An 18,329-nucleotide genomic window follows, 5' to 3' on the forward strand; every position below is an offset into this window, starting at 1 on the left:
ACCAATCTCCTGGATTGAAGGGATTGAAGATTCAGAAGATACTCCTTTCCCCAAAGCCTTGGGAAATTCATTGCTGAGGGGTGCATCTTTAAAAAGTTTTAGTTTTAGTTTGCTATGGCTACCATGACAAAGTCCCACAAATTGAGTGTCTAAAACAACAGAAAATGTATTGTTTCACAGTTCCAGGGGTTAGAAGTCTGAGATCAGGGTGTTCGCAGGCCAATGTTCTCTCTGAAGACACTAGGTTATATTAGATTAGGGGCCATCCTACTGCAGTCTAACTTTGTCTTAACTTATTACATCTGCAATGACCTTATTTCCACATAAGGTCACATTCTGAAGTACTAGGGGTTAGAACTTCAACATATAAATTGGTGGGGGGTGCATAGTAAGCACCATGGTCACTCTTCTCCATAGGTTAGGGGTTCTAGACTCTTCTCCATAGGTTAGGGGTTCTAGACTCTTCTCCATAGGTTAGGGATTCTAGTGGGAGACACTAGAGTTGAAATGGCTCCTTGATTGCTTTTTTTTTTTTGAGGCGGAGTCTCACTCTGTCACCCAGGCTGGAGTGCAATGGCGCGATCTTGGCTCACCGCAACCTCCACCTCCCGGGTTCAAGCAATTCTCCTGCCTCAGCCTCCACCAGTAGCTAGGATTATAGGCATGCACCACCAGGCCCAGATAATTTTTTTGTATTTTTAGTAGAGACAGGGTTTCACCGTGTTGGCTAGGCTGGTCTCAAACTCCTGACCTCAAATGATCCACCCACCTCAGCCTCCCAAAGTGCTGAGATTACAGGCGTGAGCCACCGCACCAAGCCAGCTCCTTGATTTCAATGCAGATACAAGGAGTCTGGGGTGACAAGGGTCAAGCAGCAGTGTTGAGCTGCCAGAGGAGAGAGAGGAGCACAGACTGGGAATGCAGGATTTACAGGTTATCTGAATGGTCAGACCTGGAGGGATCTTTAGCAACCTGCAGGAATCTTTAGCAATAGGGACCCGATCACCAGACCCCTAGTACCAAAATAGATGGAGAGGCCAGTAGAGTCCCACCTATATAACAAGAGAGTGTGAGGTCCAACTGACAGAGACTCTACTGCAACAGAGAGGAAACCCTCACCAATTTTCTAGATAAAAATCAGTTTGCAAACTCAGGGGCCCCTGAACGAGGTGGGGCATGCACCCTTAAGGAGGGCCCTGTAAAAACAGCACAGATTCATCCTGGCATTTTCCTCACAATCTCCCCAAAGAGACCTGTGGCCACAAGCCAGGTGTGGCAGATATACTTGTGGTCTACCACAAAGCCATTTTTCACTTTTCTGTTTTTTGAGACAGAGTCTCGCTCTGTCACTCATGCTGGAGTGCAGTGGCAAAATCATAGCTCACTGCAGCCTCAACTTACTGGGCTCAAGCGGTCCTCCCCCCCTCAGACTCCTGAGTAGCTGGGATTACAGGCACGCACCACCATGCCCAGCTAAGTTTTTGATCTTTTTGTAGAGACAAGGTCTCATTATGCTGCCCAGGCTAATCTCAAATGATTACAGCCATGAGCCGCTGTACCCCACCTCATTTTTCACTTTTAATAAAATAGTTTTGCCAATACAGTGGTACGTGCTTGTAATCCCAGCTACTCAGGAGGCTGAGGCAGGAGGATCGCTTGGTCATGAGTTCATAACCAGCCAGAGCTACAGAGCAAGATCCTGTTTTTGTTTTTGCCTTTGAGAGAGGGTCTTATTTTGTCGCCCAGGTTGCAGTGGCCTGACCCCGGCTCACTGCAACCTCCAACTTCTGGGCTCAAGTATTCTCTTGTCTCAGCCTCCCAAGTAGCTAGGACTGTAGACACGTGCCACCACACTTAGTCATTTGAAAATTTTTTTTGTAGAGATAGGGTCTCATTATGCTCCCCAGGCTGGTCTCAAACTCCTGGGCTCACACAACTCTCCCACCTCGGCCTCTTAAAGCACTGGGATTACAGGTGTGAACTACTGTGTTCGGTGCAAGACCCCGTTTTTACAAAAATAAGATAAAATAGTTTCGTTTAAACAATAATGTACCCAGTAATGATCAGTCTAAACCAAATATGGCAACACTCTTCTCTGCAAGTAAGAAGTATTATATATATATTTTTAGATATAAATCCAATATTGCTGAAACCTACCTATGTCTTTGCAACAATATTTGATTCTATCCAAATATTATCTGATCCTTTCAAGCTCATTCTTATTGGTGTAAGAAAAAATGAAAATAGCCAGGTGCAGTGGCTCACGCCTGTAATCACAGCACTTTGGGCGGCCAAGGCGGGCAGATCACCTGAGGTCAGGAGTTCTAGACAAGCCTGAACAACATGAAGAAACCCCATCTCTACTAAAAATACAAAATTAGCTGGGCATGGTGGCGCATGCCTGTAATCCCAGCTACTTGGGAGGCTGAGGTAGGAGAATTGCTTGAACTCAGGAGGGGCAGGTTGCAGTGAGCGGAGATCACGCCATTGCACTCCAGCCTGGGCAACAAGAGTGAAACTCCGTCTCAAAAAAATAAAATAAAATAAAAAACAAATATCCTGTGACCCTATATGATGGCTATTATTTCCCAGTAACCCAAAATGCTACTCAACATAATAATATAATTGCCCTTTCTAGGTTATGGTACAACACTGGACCTGAAGAAAAACTCTGATATTGTTATATTTCATTCCTTTTATTGTTTTCTACTAAAATCTTCAAAACCTTCTTCCAAAAGTGCTGAGAAGCCTCAAAGGGAGTCAGGTGTCCACCCTAGGAACTCAGAGCCAAGAGACAGGTGAGGACCCCCGAAGCTGTCCCCCAGGCTCTCACCAGGCAGAGGTTAGTCACCACCTGAATCCTGCAAAGTTGCCTCTCCCTCAGACACCTTGGCATAGTTGGAGAAGGCAGAAACATAGCTGCTGGCCACCCCAAACCACCCAGAAGCAGCCCAGCGACAGCCATCCTCTGCCCTGACACACTGGGAGGAGCACAGGCGAACACCCGGCAATGCCCTGCCCCATCTTGCCCACAGAGGAGCCCCGCCTACAACCCACTTCCCGGAAAGCCAGCTCCAGGGCAGGAAGTATGGACAGCCCATGATGTTCTGAGGCATGGGAAAGAGAACACCCAGCCCCTTGTCTCCACCTTCCCGACCCCAGATGCAGGTGACAAAGACAATACCAGAATAGGCCGGGTGCAGTGGTTCACGCCTGTAATCCCAGCACTTTGGGAGGCCAAGGCGGGTGCATCACCTAAGGTTGGGAGTTCAAGACAAGCCTGACCAACATGGAAAAACCCTGTCTCCACTAAAAATATAAAAACTAGCTGGGTATGATGGTGCATGCCTGTAATCCCAGCTGCTCGGGGAGGCTGAGGCAGGAGAATTGCTTGAACCCGAGGCGGAGGTCGTGGTGAGCCAAGATCGTGCCATTGCACTCCAGCCTGGCCAACAAGAGTGAAACTCCGTCTCCAAAAAATAAAAATAAAAAAAGAAAAAGAAAATACCAAAACACTGGTCAGCATACTGTCACCACAGCCTCACGCAGCCACTACATCCTTGACCCAGCTCCCGGGGCCTCCTCCCCAAGAATGCCGCATTTGGAGCCCACATTCCCAGGGACCCCAGAATCCTTCCCTTAACAGTGCTCCACTCCAGCTGCACTGCCCCCTCCACATCTGCCTCATGTTCAGGGCCAAGGGCCCCATACCCCAGGTCAGCCCAGGGAAGACCCAGGCCGCCTGCCCATGTATGCCAGGCCAGGACTCACTCCAGGGCAGCATAATTCCTCTTCAGTGAGAGTGAACATGGGGGTGGAAGCTGAACGAAGGATCCCAACACAGACCTGCGAGGAAGACCACAGCACCAGGTGTCGACAGAGCAGGCCAGAAAAAAAACACTTCAGAAATGGAGAACTGGCTACCAAATACAACCTGAGATTATTTTTTAAAAAGTATTTATTGCAAAGAATGCTGGACACAGTGTTGCATGTGGCTGAGATTCAATACCATCCATTCTGGGGAACTCGGGAAAATATCTGCAACATGGGCACGCCAGCCAGCATGGCCGAAATGTGGCAGCCAATCAGCTACACCTCAGCCCATGCGGAGACCATGCCAGGGCAGAGGCCGGGGGGTTGCCCCCACTCATGCCCTGATCCCTGGATGTCCCTCTACCCTGTCCCCAGTCCTCGTAATGCATCCAGTCCAGCAACTCCTAACTCCCCTCTGTACACAGAGAGAAAAGGCCTCGGTGGTCTCACCTCAGATGACATCCAGAGGTACATGCACTGTTGCTGACCAAGGGAACCCACTATGGCTAACAAATGAGTGTGTCCAGGTGACAAAAGTCACCAAAACTCCAAAATACACAGAAGCAAAGGCTGCAGTCCTAATGTCCCAAAGGCATGGTCCTTGGGCTCTGGGTCTAAAGGGCTTGGGGCTCTGACAGATGAGTCTGGAAGGATCTTGCCCCGGCTCCGCCTTGGACATCTCTTAGCAGAGCAGCACACAAGGATGAGAGACCACCGGCCAGGGCCAGGGACGCTAACTTCTCTCAGGGACAGGTGGCATCTGCAGGCTGCAAAGCCCTGGGAGGCTGGAAAGATGTGCTACCCTCCAGGCACAGGCCAGGAAAGGCTCCGGACACAAAGGACTTGGGATCCAGGGGCCTGGCTTCCCCAGAGTCCACCTGTGGACAGCAGGGCACCCGATTACAAGTCCAGACACTTTCTGACCCAGCCCCACAACTTGCCAGCCAGTCTGTTTGCCAGCTGTAAACAGACTGCCCAGGCTGCCTCTCTGGGACCAAAAGAACTCAGGGGCATGACAGACACTGGACTTCACAAGGCCATTTTCACCAGACTCACGTGCACATGAATGGAAGGCTGTGCTGCGGCCGGGAAAATCCTCCCTTGCCCAGGGACTGCCTATGGGTTCTGCCTTCTCCCTTCCTCAGACCCACAGGCAGAAGTCAACAAACACCAGAGAAGTTTTACAGGACCATACAAGTGTTTCTGAATTATTTATGGCAAATGCATGTTTCTGCCACCAGTGTACATTCCTGTGTGGACACGGGCAGCAACAGGGGAGAGGCCGCCTCCCCATTGGCTGCCAGTGTCCACAGCCAGGGAAGGGGAGAGGGGGCGGCAGCCTCTCCCTCGAGCACTTCGGTGTGTGCACCAGGAAGGTAACTTCCTGCCCTGTCTTGAAGTGGTTTCACTGTGAGAGCAGGCCTGAAGGGGCACCCCTGGCCACCAGCTCCCCTAAGCATACCTAAGTAGCCGGGTACATGCACAACTGGGGAGGGGCGACCACAACTGCCCCCCTGCCCTCACGTTTCTGTGCATCCCAATGTGCTGAAGCAAGCGCATTGCTTTCATGAATGCCCACAACTAAGGGTGACATGGATACAACGGCCTGGCCAGTGGCTGCCCAGGAAGCATCTGCTGTGGTTGGGGCTCTAGTTCCTGGTGGGTAAGGATGGGAAGGGCTCTCCCTCTCACCAGAGGCAGCAGAAGCTCAGGGCCCCATGAAGACCTGGCCTCTGGCTCAGGAAGTGGCCACAGAGAGGATGGTAGAGGCCCTGTGGAGAGTCACCAGGTCCATGCTGGGCAGCTGGGCCACAGTAGGAACATCACAGCAAGCACTTTCCTTTCACATTGTAGGGTTTCACACTTCACAAAGCCAACTGAGCTGGCGAGAGTGAACACCTAAGAGCTGCGCCGGAAGAAACTGGGGCTGGGCAACCTCCGCGCAGCCCATGCAGATGCAGTCTGGTCAAGTGACTCTTAGCAGCAGGTCAGGAGCCACGCACAACCTTGTCGCCGACTGTCAACAAAGAGCCAGGTGGGCTGGGGTGGGGGCTCTGGGTTCCGCCAGCCATGTGTGGCTTCAAGAATATCCCTGCATGGCATGGTGACTATCACACACACTGGAGGGCCTGGAATGACCCCCTCTGCAGAGAGCAGTGCCTGCCTAGTGGTCACAGTGGATGAACATGGTCACTGGTGAGCAGGCACCGTGACAAGGGCTTCCTCTGGAGGTCTTGAGATGTCCACGTTCTGTACAATAAAAACACAGAGCGTTCACTCCATGGCAGGAATAGATGAGATGCCTGCTGTCTGCCGTCCTCATCACTGTGGTTCATCAGGCTTCACATTCTCACTGTAGCAGCCACAGCCGCAAGACTCTAGACCACAAGCTTCCCTAAGAATACATGGCCAAGAGCTTCGTGCCACATAGCGGGTGGATGGACAATAGAACAAAGGTGCGGTGGAGGATGCCACCTCGTTTCCTGCTCCACTGCAGCCAGGTCAGGCAATACCCAAAGCAAGGCCACTCCCACCTCCTATCTCAGGGCTGAGTCAATTGAGGAGGAACCCCTGGCTTGGGGATTTTATCCTCATCTGTGGGGCAGGGAAGGGGTTCAACTCCTGGGGGTGCCTCCTTCCTAGTTTAAAGTGTTGGCACGCAGGTGTCAGAGGTGCCCCAGAAGCCTATGGGCATTTCCTGGTCTGCAGCCTGGTCTGTCCCCTCAGAACTGGGGTACAGGGCCTCCTGAAGCCCTCAGCTATAGAAGGACCCCACCAAACTGCAGAGCTCAGTCCCATCCTTGGCCTGTCGGGCTCAGGGAGTCTCAGGCCTGAGGAATAGGGAATCTGAAACTTCCCTTAGCTCTCTGAGGCTGTCTTATGTGCCCCAGAGCCTGGTGGCCCCTCCTCCCAGCTGTGGGCCCCGGAACCATCACCTGCAGGAGCAGGTCACTGATGACCTGAGCTGCTGCCCCATGCAACATGACATGCCCAGATCTTCAGGGAGAGAGACATGGCCCCCATGGCCCACAGCCTGGGCTCATAGGACCGGCCCCTGGAATTGTAGGGGCAGGTATAATTCTTACTGCTGGGCAGGCTTCCTGAGGCGCCCCTTTTCCACCACAGCCTGCCCCAATGGATGGGCCAGAAGGGAGCCATCCAGGAACCTGGGGTTAGTAGCGGTTTGCCTCTCAGAAGCACCCACCCATAGTGGGCAGAATGACCGCCAGCCACACTATGGTGATGGACTGGTAGGGTCAGCTCCCAAGGGCTGCCAGGCCCAGGGACCTCTCTTACCATCACCCTGCCAACCCAGGGGCCTCTCTTACCATCACTCTGTCAGCGCTGGGGGCCCAGTGCCATCTGGGCCTTCCTTGGCCCAAAGGATGCCCGTTGGGAGGTACGTTCCCCTGTGACTTGTGGGTACCAAATTGGGCCTGGGCTGAACTTGGCCAAGACATGCACGAACTATCAGAGCAATGGGAAGAGAGGCCTGCAGGGTAACTGGTCCTGCTTGGGGGCAGTGGTGTTGGGAAGGGACAGGACACATCTACACACCTGTGCTGTGAGGTCCAAGGCCAGATGTCCTGGTCCAGCCCAAGACGTGCATCCTCAGCAGGGACCCAGAGCCCAAGCAGGCCCCATCATGGATGGCAAGAGGCATGACTGAGGCCCAAGAGCCTTCTCCGTGCAGTGGCCTCCAGGAACTGGGACCGGGGCTCCCAGAAGTGTAGGTCCTATCCTTGGCCCCAGTGGGAGAGGGAGCCAACATTGTGGAGGGACCCCACATGGGACTAAGAGTGGTTCTGAGCTACACTCTGAGGAGCTTCTACCTTCCACAAGGCACTTGGGGAGCACAGGTGGTGACTGCTTTTCTGGACCAAGGTCTCCACCCCATGCTGAGGCCCCTTCAGTATCTGCATGGCCCTTTCCCCAAAAGTACATGATCCCATTTTAATTTTTAAAGGTGCTGGGGTTAGGAAAGGGGCTCATGAGGCCTCGGCTGCAGGGATGGGGAGTGGGAAGAGTGCCCACCTGCCCTCAGAAGGCCAGAAGCCTCATTCTTAGCCTCCAGCCTCATTCTCACTGAGCCCAAGGGCCCCCTTGACTTAGACCTCCAAGTTGCTGCTTGGGAGCCCTGTGGCTCCTCAAGTCCTGGGGCTCCAACCACACCCAAGTTCAGGCACTCCTGAGCCTGGTGGCCCAGAGTCAGGGATTTCCCCATCCCCAGGGCAGGTGCCTTGGGAAGGCCTGATGCAGGCCCCACCCAGAGCCAGGGCCCCGCCCTGCTGATGGGACAACAGTCTTGGCAGAAGACTCAAGCTCCCTCTGGCAGGTGCCGCAGCTGGGCCTGGCCCTGGAGGATGTGCAGTCTGGACACCCCCACATCAGGAACACCCCGCTACCCCAGCAGTGACCCCATTGCTACCTGAGGCCTGTCCCGGTGCGTGTTCACAGCAGCCACGTTCAGGAATATGGACTCCACTTTACAACCTGCCAAAGGGAAGATGCAAATCCATCCCCACTCCTGAAAGGCAGCTGAGCTGCAGATGCTAGAAACTTCTCTTGGAGGGGGGTCTGGGCGTGTGGAATGGAGCAGCCATCTCAGCCTCACTCTAGTTCTTCCACTTTAGGCAGCTCTGGGGAGCCCCGGGAGGAAGGATGAGACACGCTGTCAGACCCACGCATATCTATGTGACGGCCCAGACAGGGCCACACAGAGGCCCCAGGCTCCCCAACCCCAGGACCGAGAGGGATCGGGGGAACAGCAGGCCTAAGTTGAGGTTACTGACTCTCAAAGTCTTCAGGGCCCCCAAACCACCCACATTCCAACTCTACCATATAAGGCCCAGTCAACCGTGTGCCAGGTGCACAGTGCAATGGGGGATGAGGCCATTGTCACACACTGGAGTGACATCAGCTGCCACTGGGCTTCACAGCCATTCCCCCAAGAGCACCTGTGTTAAAGGTGAAGAGCTAAGACCTGAGAGATGAAGAAGTTGCCTGAAGTCTCTGCTGGTATAGCAAGAGGCAGGGTGGGGACTCACACTGCCCTGCACCCAGAATAAAGTCCAGGCCCTGAGGACCAAGGGGCCTTGTGGGGGTTCAGAAAAATCAGTAGAAAAGCCCCTCATGCAGGTAGGCAATGGTTAAGCAAAGTCACTGGGGAGGTCTTCTGTGGCCACATAAACTTTTTCACAACAAACTTTTTTTTTTTTTTTGAGACAGGGTCTCGCTCTGTCGCCCAGGCTGGAGTGCAGTGGTGCGATCTCGGCTCACTGCAAGTTCCGCCTCCCGGGTTCATGCCATTCTCCTGCCTCAGCCTCCCAAGTAGCTGGGACTACAGGTGCCCGCCACTACGCCCAGCTAATTTTTTTGTATTTTTAGTAGAGATGGGGTTTCACCATGTTAGCCAGGAGGGTCTCTATCTCTTGACCTCGTGATCCACCCACCTCGGCCTCCCAAAGTGCTGGGATTACAGGCATGAGCCACCGCACCCAGCCCCAGAACAAACTTTTTAAAAGCAAATTAGGGCCGCAGATGGTAGCTCATGATGGTAGCTCACGCCTGTAATCCCAGCACTTTGGGAGGCCGAGGCAGGTAGATCACCTAAGGTCAGGAGTTCGAGACCAGCCTGACAACATGGTGACACTCTGTCTCTACTAAAAATACAAAAATTAGCTGGGCATGGTGGCAGGCGCCTGTAATCCTAGCTACTCGGGAGGCAGAGGCAAGAGAATCATCTGAACCCGGGAGGTGGAGGTTGTAGTGAGCCTAGATCACGCCATTGCACTCCAGCCTGGGTGACAAAGCGAGACTCCGTCTCAAAGAAAAAAAGCAAATTGGGAAAGGTGGTGGGGTAGTAGGTGGAGGAATGGGCTCCTAACACAATTTTCAAGGAATTCGGAGAAAATCATGGAACTGTGCAGAGATCCAAGGTCATGGCTACCCATGGTCAATGTGCAGGAAGCTTCCTTACCATATGCCACAGGAGTCAGCTTCAGGACTGTGTGCAGCGGACACTTGAGGTAGGGCAGCTGTTCTGTAGACACAGAGGGGGATGGCTAGCACACCAGAAATGCCTGGTGACAGTGCCTACCTTCTCACACAACCTTCCCACCTCCCCCGGGGCACAGCCCACACCTGCTGCCTTGTCGAGGAAGTAGGCCAGCAGGCAGCGCATCACAGCCTGGTGGCAGATGACCAGCACATTCTCTTGCCTCTCCAGCTCCATGATGACAGGCTCCAGTCTCTGGACCAGGTCCTCGTAGGACTGCAAGGGCAAGCAGAGAGGGGTCCCTCAGGCCTGGCTCCGGGGGAGGGACAGACACATCCTGGACACTGGGCCACCTTCCACTCCTGCAGCTACTCACCATTCTGGGAAGCTGTGGCTGGGCCTCCTCCAGCCTAGCCTTCTGAGGCCATGGGGGTGGGCAGCTGAGGAAAGGGGCCACCTTTCCCACCTCAGGGCTAGGTCCTGGTAGGATTGAGAGCGCAGAGCTAGGCCTCAGGCTCCATCCCAGGGTCCACCTCAGTGCCCACCCATGGGGCTCTGCACTGAATCCTCAGCTATAGAATTCATGTGACTGGTGGAGAAGACCTCGCCTGCTTCCAGCCCACAGCAAACAGAGTGCACTGACAAGAGCGAAGGGGAAGAGAGCAAAGACCTGGAACTTTCTGGAGTGTGACTCATCAGAAACAGCTGGGGTCCCCAGGAACTATCCTCAGTCTACCTGCCCAGTATCTTCCCCCTATGCCTGCCGTGATGTACGGTTTAGGCCCCTGCTGGGCCTCTCAACCTGGCAGGTTTAGAGATTTTCATCAGTTTCATCCTTCTGCACACAATGAGTGGTCCTTCAAAAATGGCCTCCAGCAGTCAGAACTGAACGTGCCCCAAGCTTTGATTAGGAAGCAAAAATGACACGCTGATTTGTGCCAGTTCCTGGTAGTTCTGAGAAAATCCTAGACCGGTTCTTTTGGTAACATGAATTTCTCAACCAATTCTCCTCACTGTATTCTCATGTTTGAGCAGCCAGCTGCTTTGTTTCTCCTGACCGTTATCTGGGTTGGTTCTAAATCTGAACTTGGCCTAACATAATGTGGGGAATAATTAATGTTCCCAAGAGCTATACTATCCTGAGGATGGTACAGTGTAGAGACCTGTCAGCCTGGCTTCTGGGTGGAGGTGCTTCTACATGTGTATATATATGTGTACATATGTGTGTTGACGGGGTGTATTTTTATTTGGCCCCTGCCCCAGGCCACCTCCTGGAAGTGGAAGGAGATGCCTCAGTCAAAGGTGACCCTCAGTTTCTGACCTGGGGCCTGGGCTGAACTGTGTCAGAGAAGGTGACAAGTGCAGTGGCTTGTGGTAGCCAACTCATGTGTGGAAGGTCTCCCTGGGTCTGGTGCCAGGGCTGGGGGTGGTGCCTGGAGCCACAGGAAGGACAGGATGGGCTCAGCCTGTGACAAGAGGAAGCATCCAAAGGAAGGATGAGGCCCGAGACAGGGACTCGAGTGAGCTGAGACCCGAGTCCCAGGCCTGCCATGGTCTCCCCAACTCCCCAGCCATTTGAGCGCCCCGGAAAGGGCTGACAACTCGCTGGGAAAGGAGCTGGCCTGGGAATGCCAGGGGACCGCACACTGTCTACAGGGGTCCCAGGAAAGCCTAACTCCGCAGATCCCCCACCTCAGGCCCTGCCCTTCCGAATTCTCCACCCCTGGGAAGGGGAAAGACAAGAATGGAGAGCAGGGAGCCAAAGGTCTCCAGGTTGAAGGCCTGCCCTACATGGCACTGCCCACTCCACACCTGAGGAAGGGACTAAGGCCTGGGCTGCATAGCTGGGAAGGGGTGGAGATGAACCACACACCCAGGCTGGCAGGCCTCTGAGACCAGGCCCCTTCTGCTACCCACGCAGCCCCTGCAGAGCCCCACAGGCCCTCAGCCACAGGTGGTACTCCCAGGCGGGCAGTAGGTGGCTGGGACTAAGCCCCAAATCCCACCTACCTCCCCTTTAGGGTACCGGTACCGGTACTTGTCCTGGTCCCGCAGGGCGAACTCCAGTGGATAATTATCCTGAATTTCCTCGTAGGTCATTTCCTCACAGACGCCCTAGGGAGATACCACAGTCATCACACCTCCTACAGGCCCAGAAGATGAGCCTTGGGGACATGTGGGGTGAGGCAGCATCAAGCAGAAGAGACCAAGTTCACGGGCATTTCCTGGGTGAAGGGAACAGAAACCTGTCTAAGGAGGGGAGGACCTCTAGGAACACTGATCATTGGTGGTTCCTTGCTTGTAAAAAGCTACCAGGATGGTCTTGTCCACCTATCCATCACCCATCCAATACACACAGAGATGCTATGTGTTTTTTCTTTTCTGTGCTGTGGAAATAGTACTTGTGAGTGTAGGTTGTTATGCAAACTATGAAGGAAAACTTCACTTGTGTTATTTGGGATACACACACACACACAGAGCATAGATCATCTTCTACAAATGCCATTAAAAAAAAAAAGCTGGCTGGGCGCGATGGCTCACGCCTGTAATCCCAGCACTTTGGGAGGCTGAGGCAGGCGGATCACTTGAGGTCAGGAGTTCAAGACCAGCCTGGCCAACATGGTGGAGGAGGCAGTGGTTGCAGTGGGCTGAGATTGTGCCACTGCACTCCAGCCTGGGCAACAGAGAGAGACTCCCTCTCAAAAGAAAAGAAAAAAAAAGAAAAGTTGGCTGGGCGTGGTGGCTCACAGCTCACAGCCTGTAATCCCAGCACTTTGGGAGGCTGAGGCAGGTGGATCACCTGAGATCAGGAGTTCAAGGCCAGCATGGTCAACATGATGAATCCCCGTCTCTACTAAAAATACAAAAATTAGTTGGGCGTGGTGGCGCACGCCTGTAGTCCCAGCTACTCAGGAGGCTGAAGCAGGAGAATCGCATGTACCCAAGAGGTGGAGATTGCAGTGAGCCAAGATTACGCCACTGCACTCCAGCCTGGGGAAGAGAATGAGACTCTGTCTCAAAAAAAAAAAAAAAAAGATGGGGACATATTGGATTAGAGTGGGTCCTAAATCCAGTCATTGGTGTCCTTTTAAGAACGCCATGTAGGCCGGGCACAGTGGCTCATGCCTGTAATCCCAGCACTTTGGGAGGCTGAGGCAGGTGGATCATGAGGTCAGGAGTTTGAGACCAGCCTGGCCAATATGGTGAAACCCCGTCTCTACTAAAAAAATACAAAAATTAGCCAGGCGTGGTGGCTCACGCCTGTAGTCCCAGCTACTTGGGAGGCTGAGGCAGAAGAATCTCTTGAACCCGGGAGGCAGAGATTGCAGGGAGCTGAGATCATGCCACTGCACTCCAGCCTGGGTGACAGAGCGAGACTCCATCTCAAAAAAAAAAAAAAAAAGAATGTCATGTGAAGGCACAGACAGACATACATAGGGAAGAAAGCCATGTGATGACCGTGGACAGAGGTGGGATTGGAGTGATGAGGCTATGAGCCAAGAAATACCAAGGATTACCAGCAACAACTGGAAACTAGGAAGAGGTGAGGAAGCGTTCTTTATTAGCACCTTCAGAGGGAGCATGGCCCCGCTGACGCCTTGATTTCAGACTTCTAGCCTCCAGAACTGTGAGAGAATCAATTCATGTTGTTTTAAGCCACTCACCTGTAGTGCTTTGTTACGGCAGCCCTAGTAAACTAATACTTTTTTTTTTTTTAACATTTAGTGGTTTTTTTTTTTTTTTTGAGACAGTCTTACTCTGTCACACAGGCTGGAGTCCAGTGGTGTGATCTTGGCTCACTGCAGCCTCAAACTTCCCAGGCTCAGGTGATCCTCCCACCTCAGCCTCCCAAGTAGCTGGGACTACAGGTGTGCGCCACCACACTTGAATACTAACACATATTTTGGTACCAGGAGGTGAAGTGCTGCTGGCTGCTGTAATAAAGAACTAAAAATGTGGAAGTGGTTATGAAATGGGATAGTGGGTAGAGGCTGGAAGAATTTTGTGGTGCATGATAAAAAGCTTAGACTGTCTTGAAGAGACTGTTAGTAGAAATTTAGACATTAAAGATTATTCTGGTGAAGGCACAGAAGGAAGTGAAGAGGATGACAGAGAAAGCGTCCATCATCTTTTTTTTTTTTTTTTTTTTTGAGACAGGGTCTCACTCTGTTGCCCAGGCTGGAGTGCAGTGGTGCAATCTCAGCTCACTGCAACCTCTGCCTCCCATGTTTAAACAATTCTCCTGCCTCAGCCTCCTGAGTAGCTGGGATTACAGGCACAGGCCACCATGGCTGGCTAATTTTTTGTATTTTTAGTAGAGACGGGGTTTCGCCATGTTGACCAGGCTGGTCTCGAACTCCTGGCCTCATGTGATCTGCCCATCTCGGCCTCCCAAAGTGCTGGGATTACAGTCATGAGCCACTACGCCCGGCCAGCTTCCACCATCGTAAAGAGCACATATATCATCATGAAAAGAACGTTGATAGAAATATGAACATTAAAGGTGCCTCTGTGAGCCCACAAGGGGAAATGAGGTACCTTTTCCTGGACCCTAGAGAAAAGGTAATCCATGTTATAAAGTGGCAGAGAATGTGGCTAAACTGAGTTCCCATGTTGGACGGCTACAACCAAGACTGATGGTAACAAGCGCAGGCGGGTATGTGGAGAAATCAGAGCCCTCACACACTGCGGGAGGGAATGTGAGATGGCGAAACAGTGTGGCAGTTTCTGAAAAGGTTGAATGTATAATTACCATATGACCCAGCAATTCTACTCCTAGCGTACAGTGAGGAGAAATAAAAATATAAGTCCGCACAAAAACTTATGCCGGATGCGGTGGCTCATGTCTGTAATCCCAGCACTTTGGGAGGCCAAGGCAGGTAGATCTCTTGAGCCCAGGAGTTTGAGACCAGCCTGGGCAACATGATGAAACCCCATCTCTACAAACAAATACAAAAATTAGCTGGGTGTGGTGGCGAGTTCCTGTAGTCCCAGCTACTTGGGAGACAGAGGTGGGAGGATTGCTTGAGCCCAGGAGATGGAGGCTGCAGTGAGCTAAGATCGTGCTACTGCACTCAGCCTGGGCAACAAAGCAAGACCCTGTCTCAAACAAACAAACATAGAAAACACCTTGGACATGAATGTTCACAGCAGCATTATCCACATAGCCCAAAAGTGGCAACAACTCAAATGCCCATCAACTGATGAATGGATACATAATGTGTGGTATATTTATATAATAGGATGTTATTTGGCAATGTAAAGGAATGAAATACTGCTACATGCTACACGAATAAACCTTGAAAACATTAGTGGTAGCTTAAGGCAGAAGGAAGGGTTAGAGGGAAATGGGAAGTGACTGTTGATGGGCACAGGATTTCTATCTGGGGTGATGAAATGTTCTAAAACTGATTGTGGTGATGGTTGCACAACTCTGAACACACTAAAAACCACTGAACTGTATACTTATTTATTTATTTATTTATTTATTTATTTTTTTAGAGACTGAGTCTCGCCTTGTCTCCAAGGCTGGAGTGTAATGGCACGATCTCAGCTCACTGCAACCTCCACCTCCTGGGTTCAAGTGATTCTCCTGCCTCAGCCCCCCGAGTAGCTGGGATTACAGGTGTGCGCCACCACAAATGGCCTGAACTGTATATTTTAAATGGGTGAATTCTATGGTATATGAATTATATCTCAATAAAGCTATCATTTTTTTAAAGGAACTATAAGGCAATAAATTGTGGATTAAACTAAGAAAAAGTCATAATGTTGGAATAGAAGACAAGCCCAAGGCTGTTTATCAGAAGATAAACATGGAAAGATGATTAATGGATCATAAAAACTGTAATAGTTTCAAAACTTGAAAGATGAAGGAAATCCACAAGCATCTTGGAAAATAATCAGATTAACTTCAAAGGAAAAAAACTGGGGTGGCTGCAGGCTTCTCTGCAAAACTGAATGTTAGCATCAAATCTATATATTTGGAGGGAAGACACTGTCCTATAACCTGCCTCAGGTAGCTGCTGTTTGTGTGAGAAAGAAATCAGTGGCTGGATAACCCCCACCAAGCACAAAATGGGTTAAATGAGCTACAAAATGAGTTATAAAAATTGCTTACTTTTTTGAAAGAGATTATCAATTCTGAAGAGAAAGAATAGATAAAAAATAAAACCACAACTTGAGTTCAGGAGTTTGAAACCAGCCTGGGCAATATGGTGAAGCCCCATCTTTACAGAAAATACAAAAATTAGCCAGGCGTAGTGTTGCACACCTGTGGTCCCAGCTACTCAGGAGGCTGAGGTGGGAAGATGGCTTGAGTCCAGGAGGCGGAGGTTGCAGTGAGCTGAGATGGTGCTACTGCGCTCCAGCCTGGGTGACAGAGCCAGACCCTGTTTCAAAAATAAAATAAAATAGGCCAGGCATAGTGGCTCATACCTGTAATCCCAGCACTTTGGGAGGCCAAGGCGGGTGGATCACCTGAGGTCAAGAGTTCAAGACCAGCCTGGCCAACATGGTGAAACCCTGTCTCTACTAAAAATACAAAAATTAGCCAGGCATGGTGTCTCACAACTGTAGTCCCAGCTACTCGGGAGGCTGAGGCACGAGAATCACTTAAACCCGGGAGGTAGAGGTTACAGTGAGCTGAGATTGCACCACTACACTCCAGCCTGGGAAACAGAGTGAGATTTGGTCTCAAAAAATAAATAAATAAATAAAAATAAAATAAAATAAAACCATGATGCTGTACTCTGCCCAATTACATCGAAAAAACAGAGCAAAAAGGAAATGAATGGCAATAATACAACATCATCTTTCCCAACAGAAGGTCAAAAATTATTTTCCTGTGACAGTATGAGCTTTGTTAAGTATATTTCAATTATGTGCATCCAGCCTGAGAATGTCTTTGAAAAGCTTTAAGGTAAAGACTATTGGAATAAAAACATTGCCTACCTTTCAAATAACAAAAAAGATCATATCTACACAGAAAAATTGGAATAAAGAGAAAATTCCAAGGTATTGAAAACAAGATCAAACATACCAGTAATGATAATAATAAACCTAAGTGGTTGCAGATGCCTTGATGAAAAAAGCTCTTGGGCTAGGCTAAAACTCAAAGCAAGTATATGCTTTTGTTTTGTTTTGTTTTGTTTTCTTTTCTTTTGTTTTTGAGACAGAGTCTTGCTCTGTCACCCAGGCTGGAGTGTAGTGACATATCTTGGCTCACTGCAACCTCCTCCTCCTGGGTTCAAGCAATTCTCCTGCTTCAGCCTCCCACGTAGCTGGGATTACAGGCATGCGCCACCACGCTCAGCTACTTTTTACATTTTTAGTACAGACAGGGTTTCACCATCTTGGACAGGCTGGTCTCAAACTCCTGATGTCAAGTGATCCACCCACCTCAGTCTCCCAAAGTGCTGGGATTGCAGGCATGAGCCACTGCGCCTGGCCTATGCTCTTTATTCTAAAGAAAATGATACAAAAATGTTAAAAATAAAAGGGAAAAAATATAATAAAAAAATATGGACAGGTTGGGCATGGTGGTTCATGCCTGTAATCCCAGCACTTTGGGAGGCCAAGGAAGGAGATCACTCGAACCCAGGAGTTCAAGACCACCCTGGGCAACACAGCAAGACCACATCTCTAAAAATTTTTTAAATTTAGGACAGGGGCAGTGGCTCATGACTGTAATACCAGCAATTTGGGAGGCCGAGGTGGGATCACCTGAGGTCAGGAGTTCAAGACCAGCCTGACCAACATGGAGAAACTCCGTCTCTACTAAAAATACAAAATTAGCTGGGCTTGGTGGCTCATTCCTGTAATCCCAGCTACTCGGGAGGCTGAGGCAAGAGAATCACTTGAACCCGGGAAGCAGAAATTTTTTTTTTTTTTTTTTAATTTTGAGAGGGAGTTTTGCTCTTGTTACCCAGGCTGGAGTGCAGTGGCGTGATCTCAGCTCACCACAACCTCCGCCTCCCAGGTCTCCAACTCCTGACCTCAGGTGATCTGCCCACCTTGGCCTCCCAAAGTGCTTGGATTACAGGCATGAGCCACCGCACCCGGCCAAAAAAAAATTTTTTTTTTAAATTTAGCTGGGTATGGTGATGTGTGCCTGTAGTCCTAGCTACTCGGGAGGCTAAGATGGGAGGATTACTTGAACCTGGGAGGTCAAGGCTGCAGTGAGCCATGATGGTGCCATTGCACTCCAGCCAGGACAACAGAGCAAGACCCTGTCACTTAAAAAAAAGAAAAAATATATGGACAGAAAGCAGGAATAACAAATCAAAACCAAGATGCAATACCACACCCATTAGGATGGCTACTATTAAAAAAAGAAAAGAAAAGAAAACAACAAGTGTTGACAAGGATGTGGAGAAATTGGAACCTGTGTGTACTTCTGGTAGAAATGTAAAATGATGCAGCTGCTATGGGAAACAGTACAGCAGTTCCTCAAAAAAATAAAAACAGAGGCCGGGTGCGGTGGCTCACGCCTGTAATCCCAGCACTCTGGGAGGCC

At 50.7% G+C, this 18,329-nt stretch overlaps 1 protein-coding gene across 17 annotated transcripts in view; it reads right to left on the minus strand.

Moving 5' to 3' along the window:
* Positions 1-3,940: 3,940 nt before the first annotated feature.
* Positions 3,941-18,329, minus strand: part of PFKFB4 (6-phosphofructo-2-kinase/fructose-2,6-biphosphatase 4) — a 45,453-nt gene continuing 31,064 nt past the window's right edge. For 10 of the 17 annotated variants that reach the window (XM_011533829.3, NM_001317136.2, XM_017006616.2 and 7 more), the window contains 5 exons: positions 11,822-11,926; positions 9,958-10,087; positions 9,794-9,856; positions 8,243-8,307; positions 3,941-6,063 (listed from right to left, as the gene is read on the minus strand). In XM_011533829.3, the coding sequence (XP_011532131.1) occupies positions 6,004-6,063; positions 8,243-8,307; positions 9,794-9,856; positions 9,958-10,087; positions 11,822-11,926 (423 nt within the window). In that variant the 3' untranslated portion in view covers positions 3,941-6,003. Of the gene's footprint in view, positions 6,209-8,242; positions 8,308-9,793; positions 9,857-9,957; positions 10,088-11,821; positions 11,927-18,329 lie in introns of all 17 variants that reach the window. The other 7 variants (XM_017006617.2, XM_047448301.1, XM_047448300.1 and 4 more) reach the window with 2 other exon arrangements.

Source organism: Homo sapiens, chromosome 3 (genome assembly GCF_000001405.40).
Source record: "Homo sapiens chromosome 3, GRCh38.p14 Primary Assembly".
Lineage (NCBI taxonomy): Eukaryota > Metazoa > Chordata > Mammalia > Primates > Hominidae > Homo > Homo sapiens.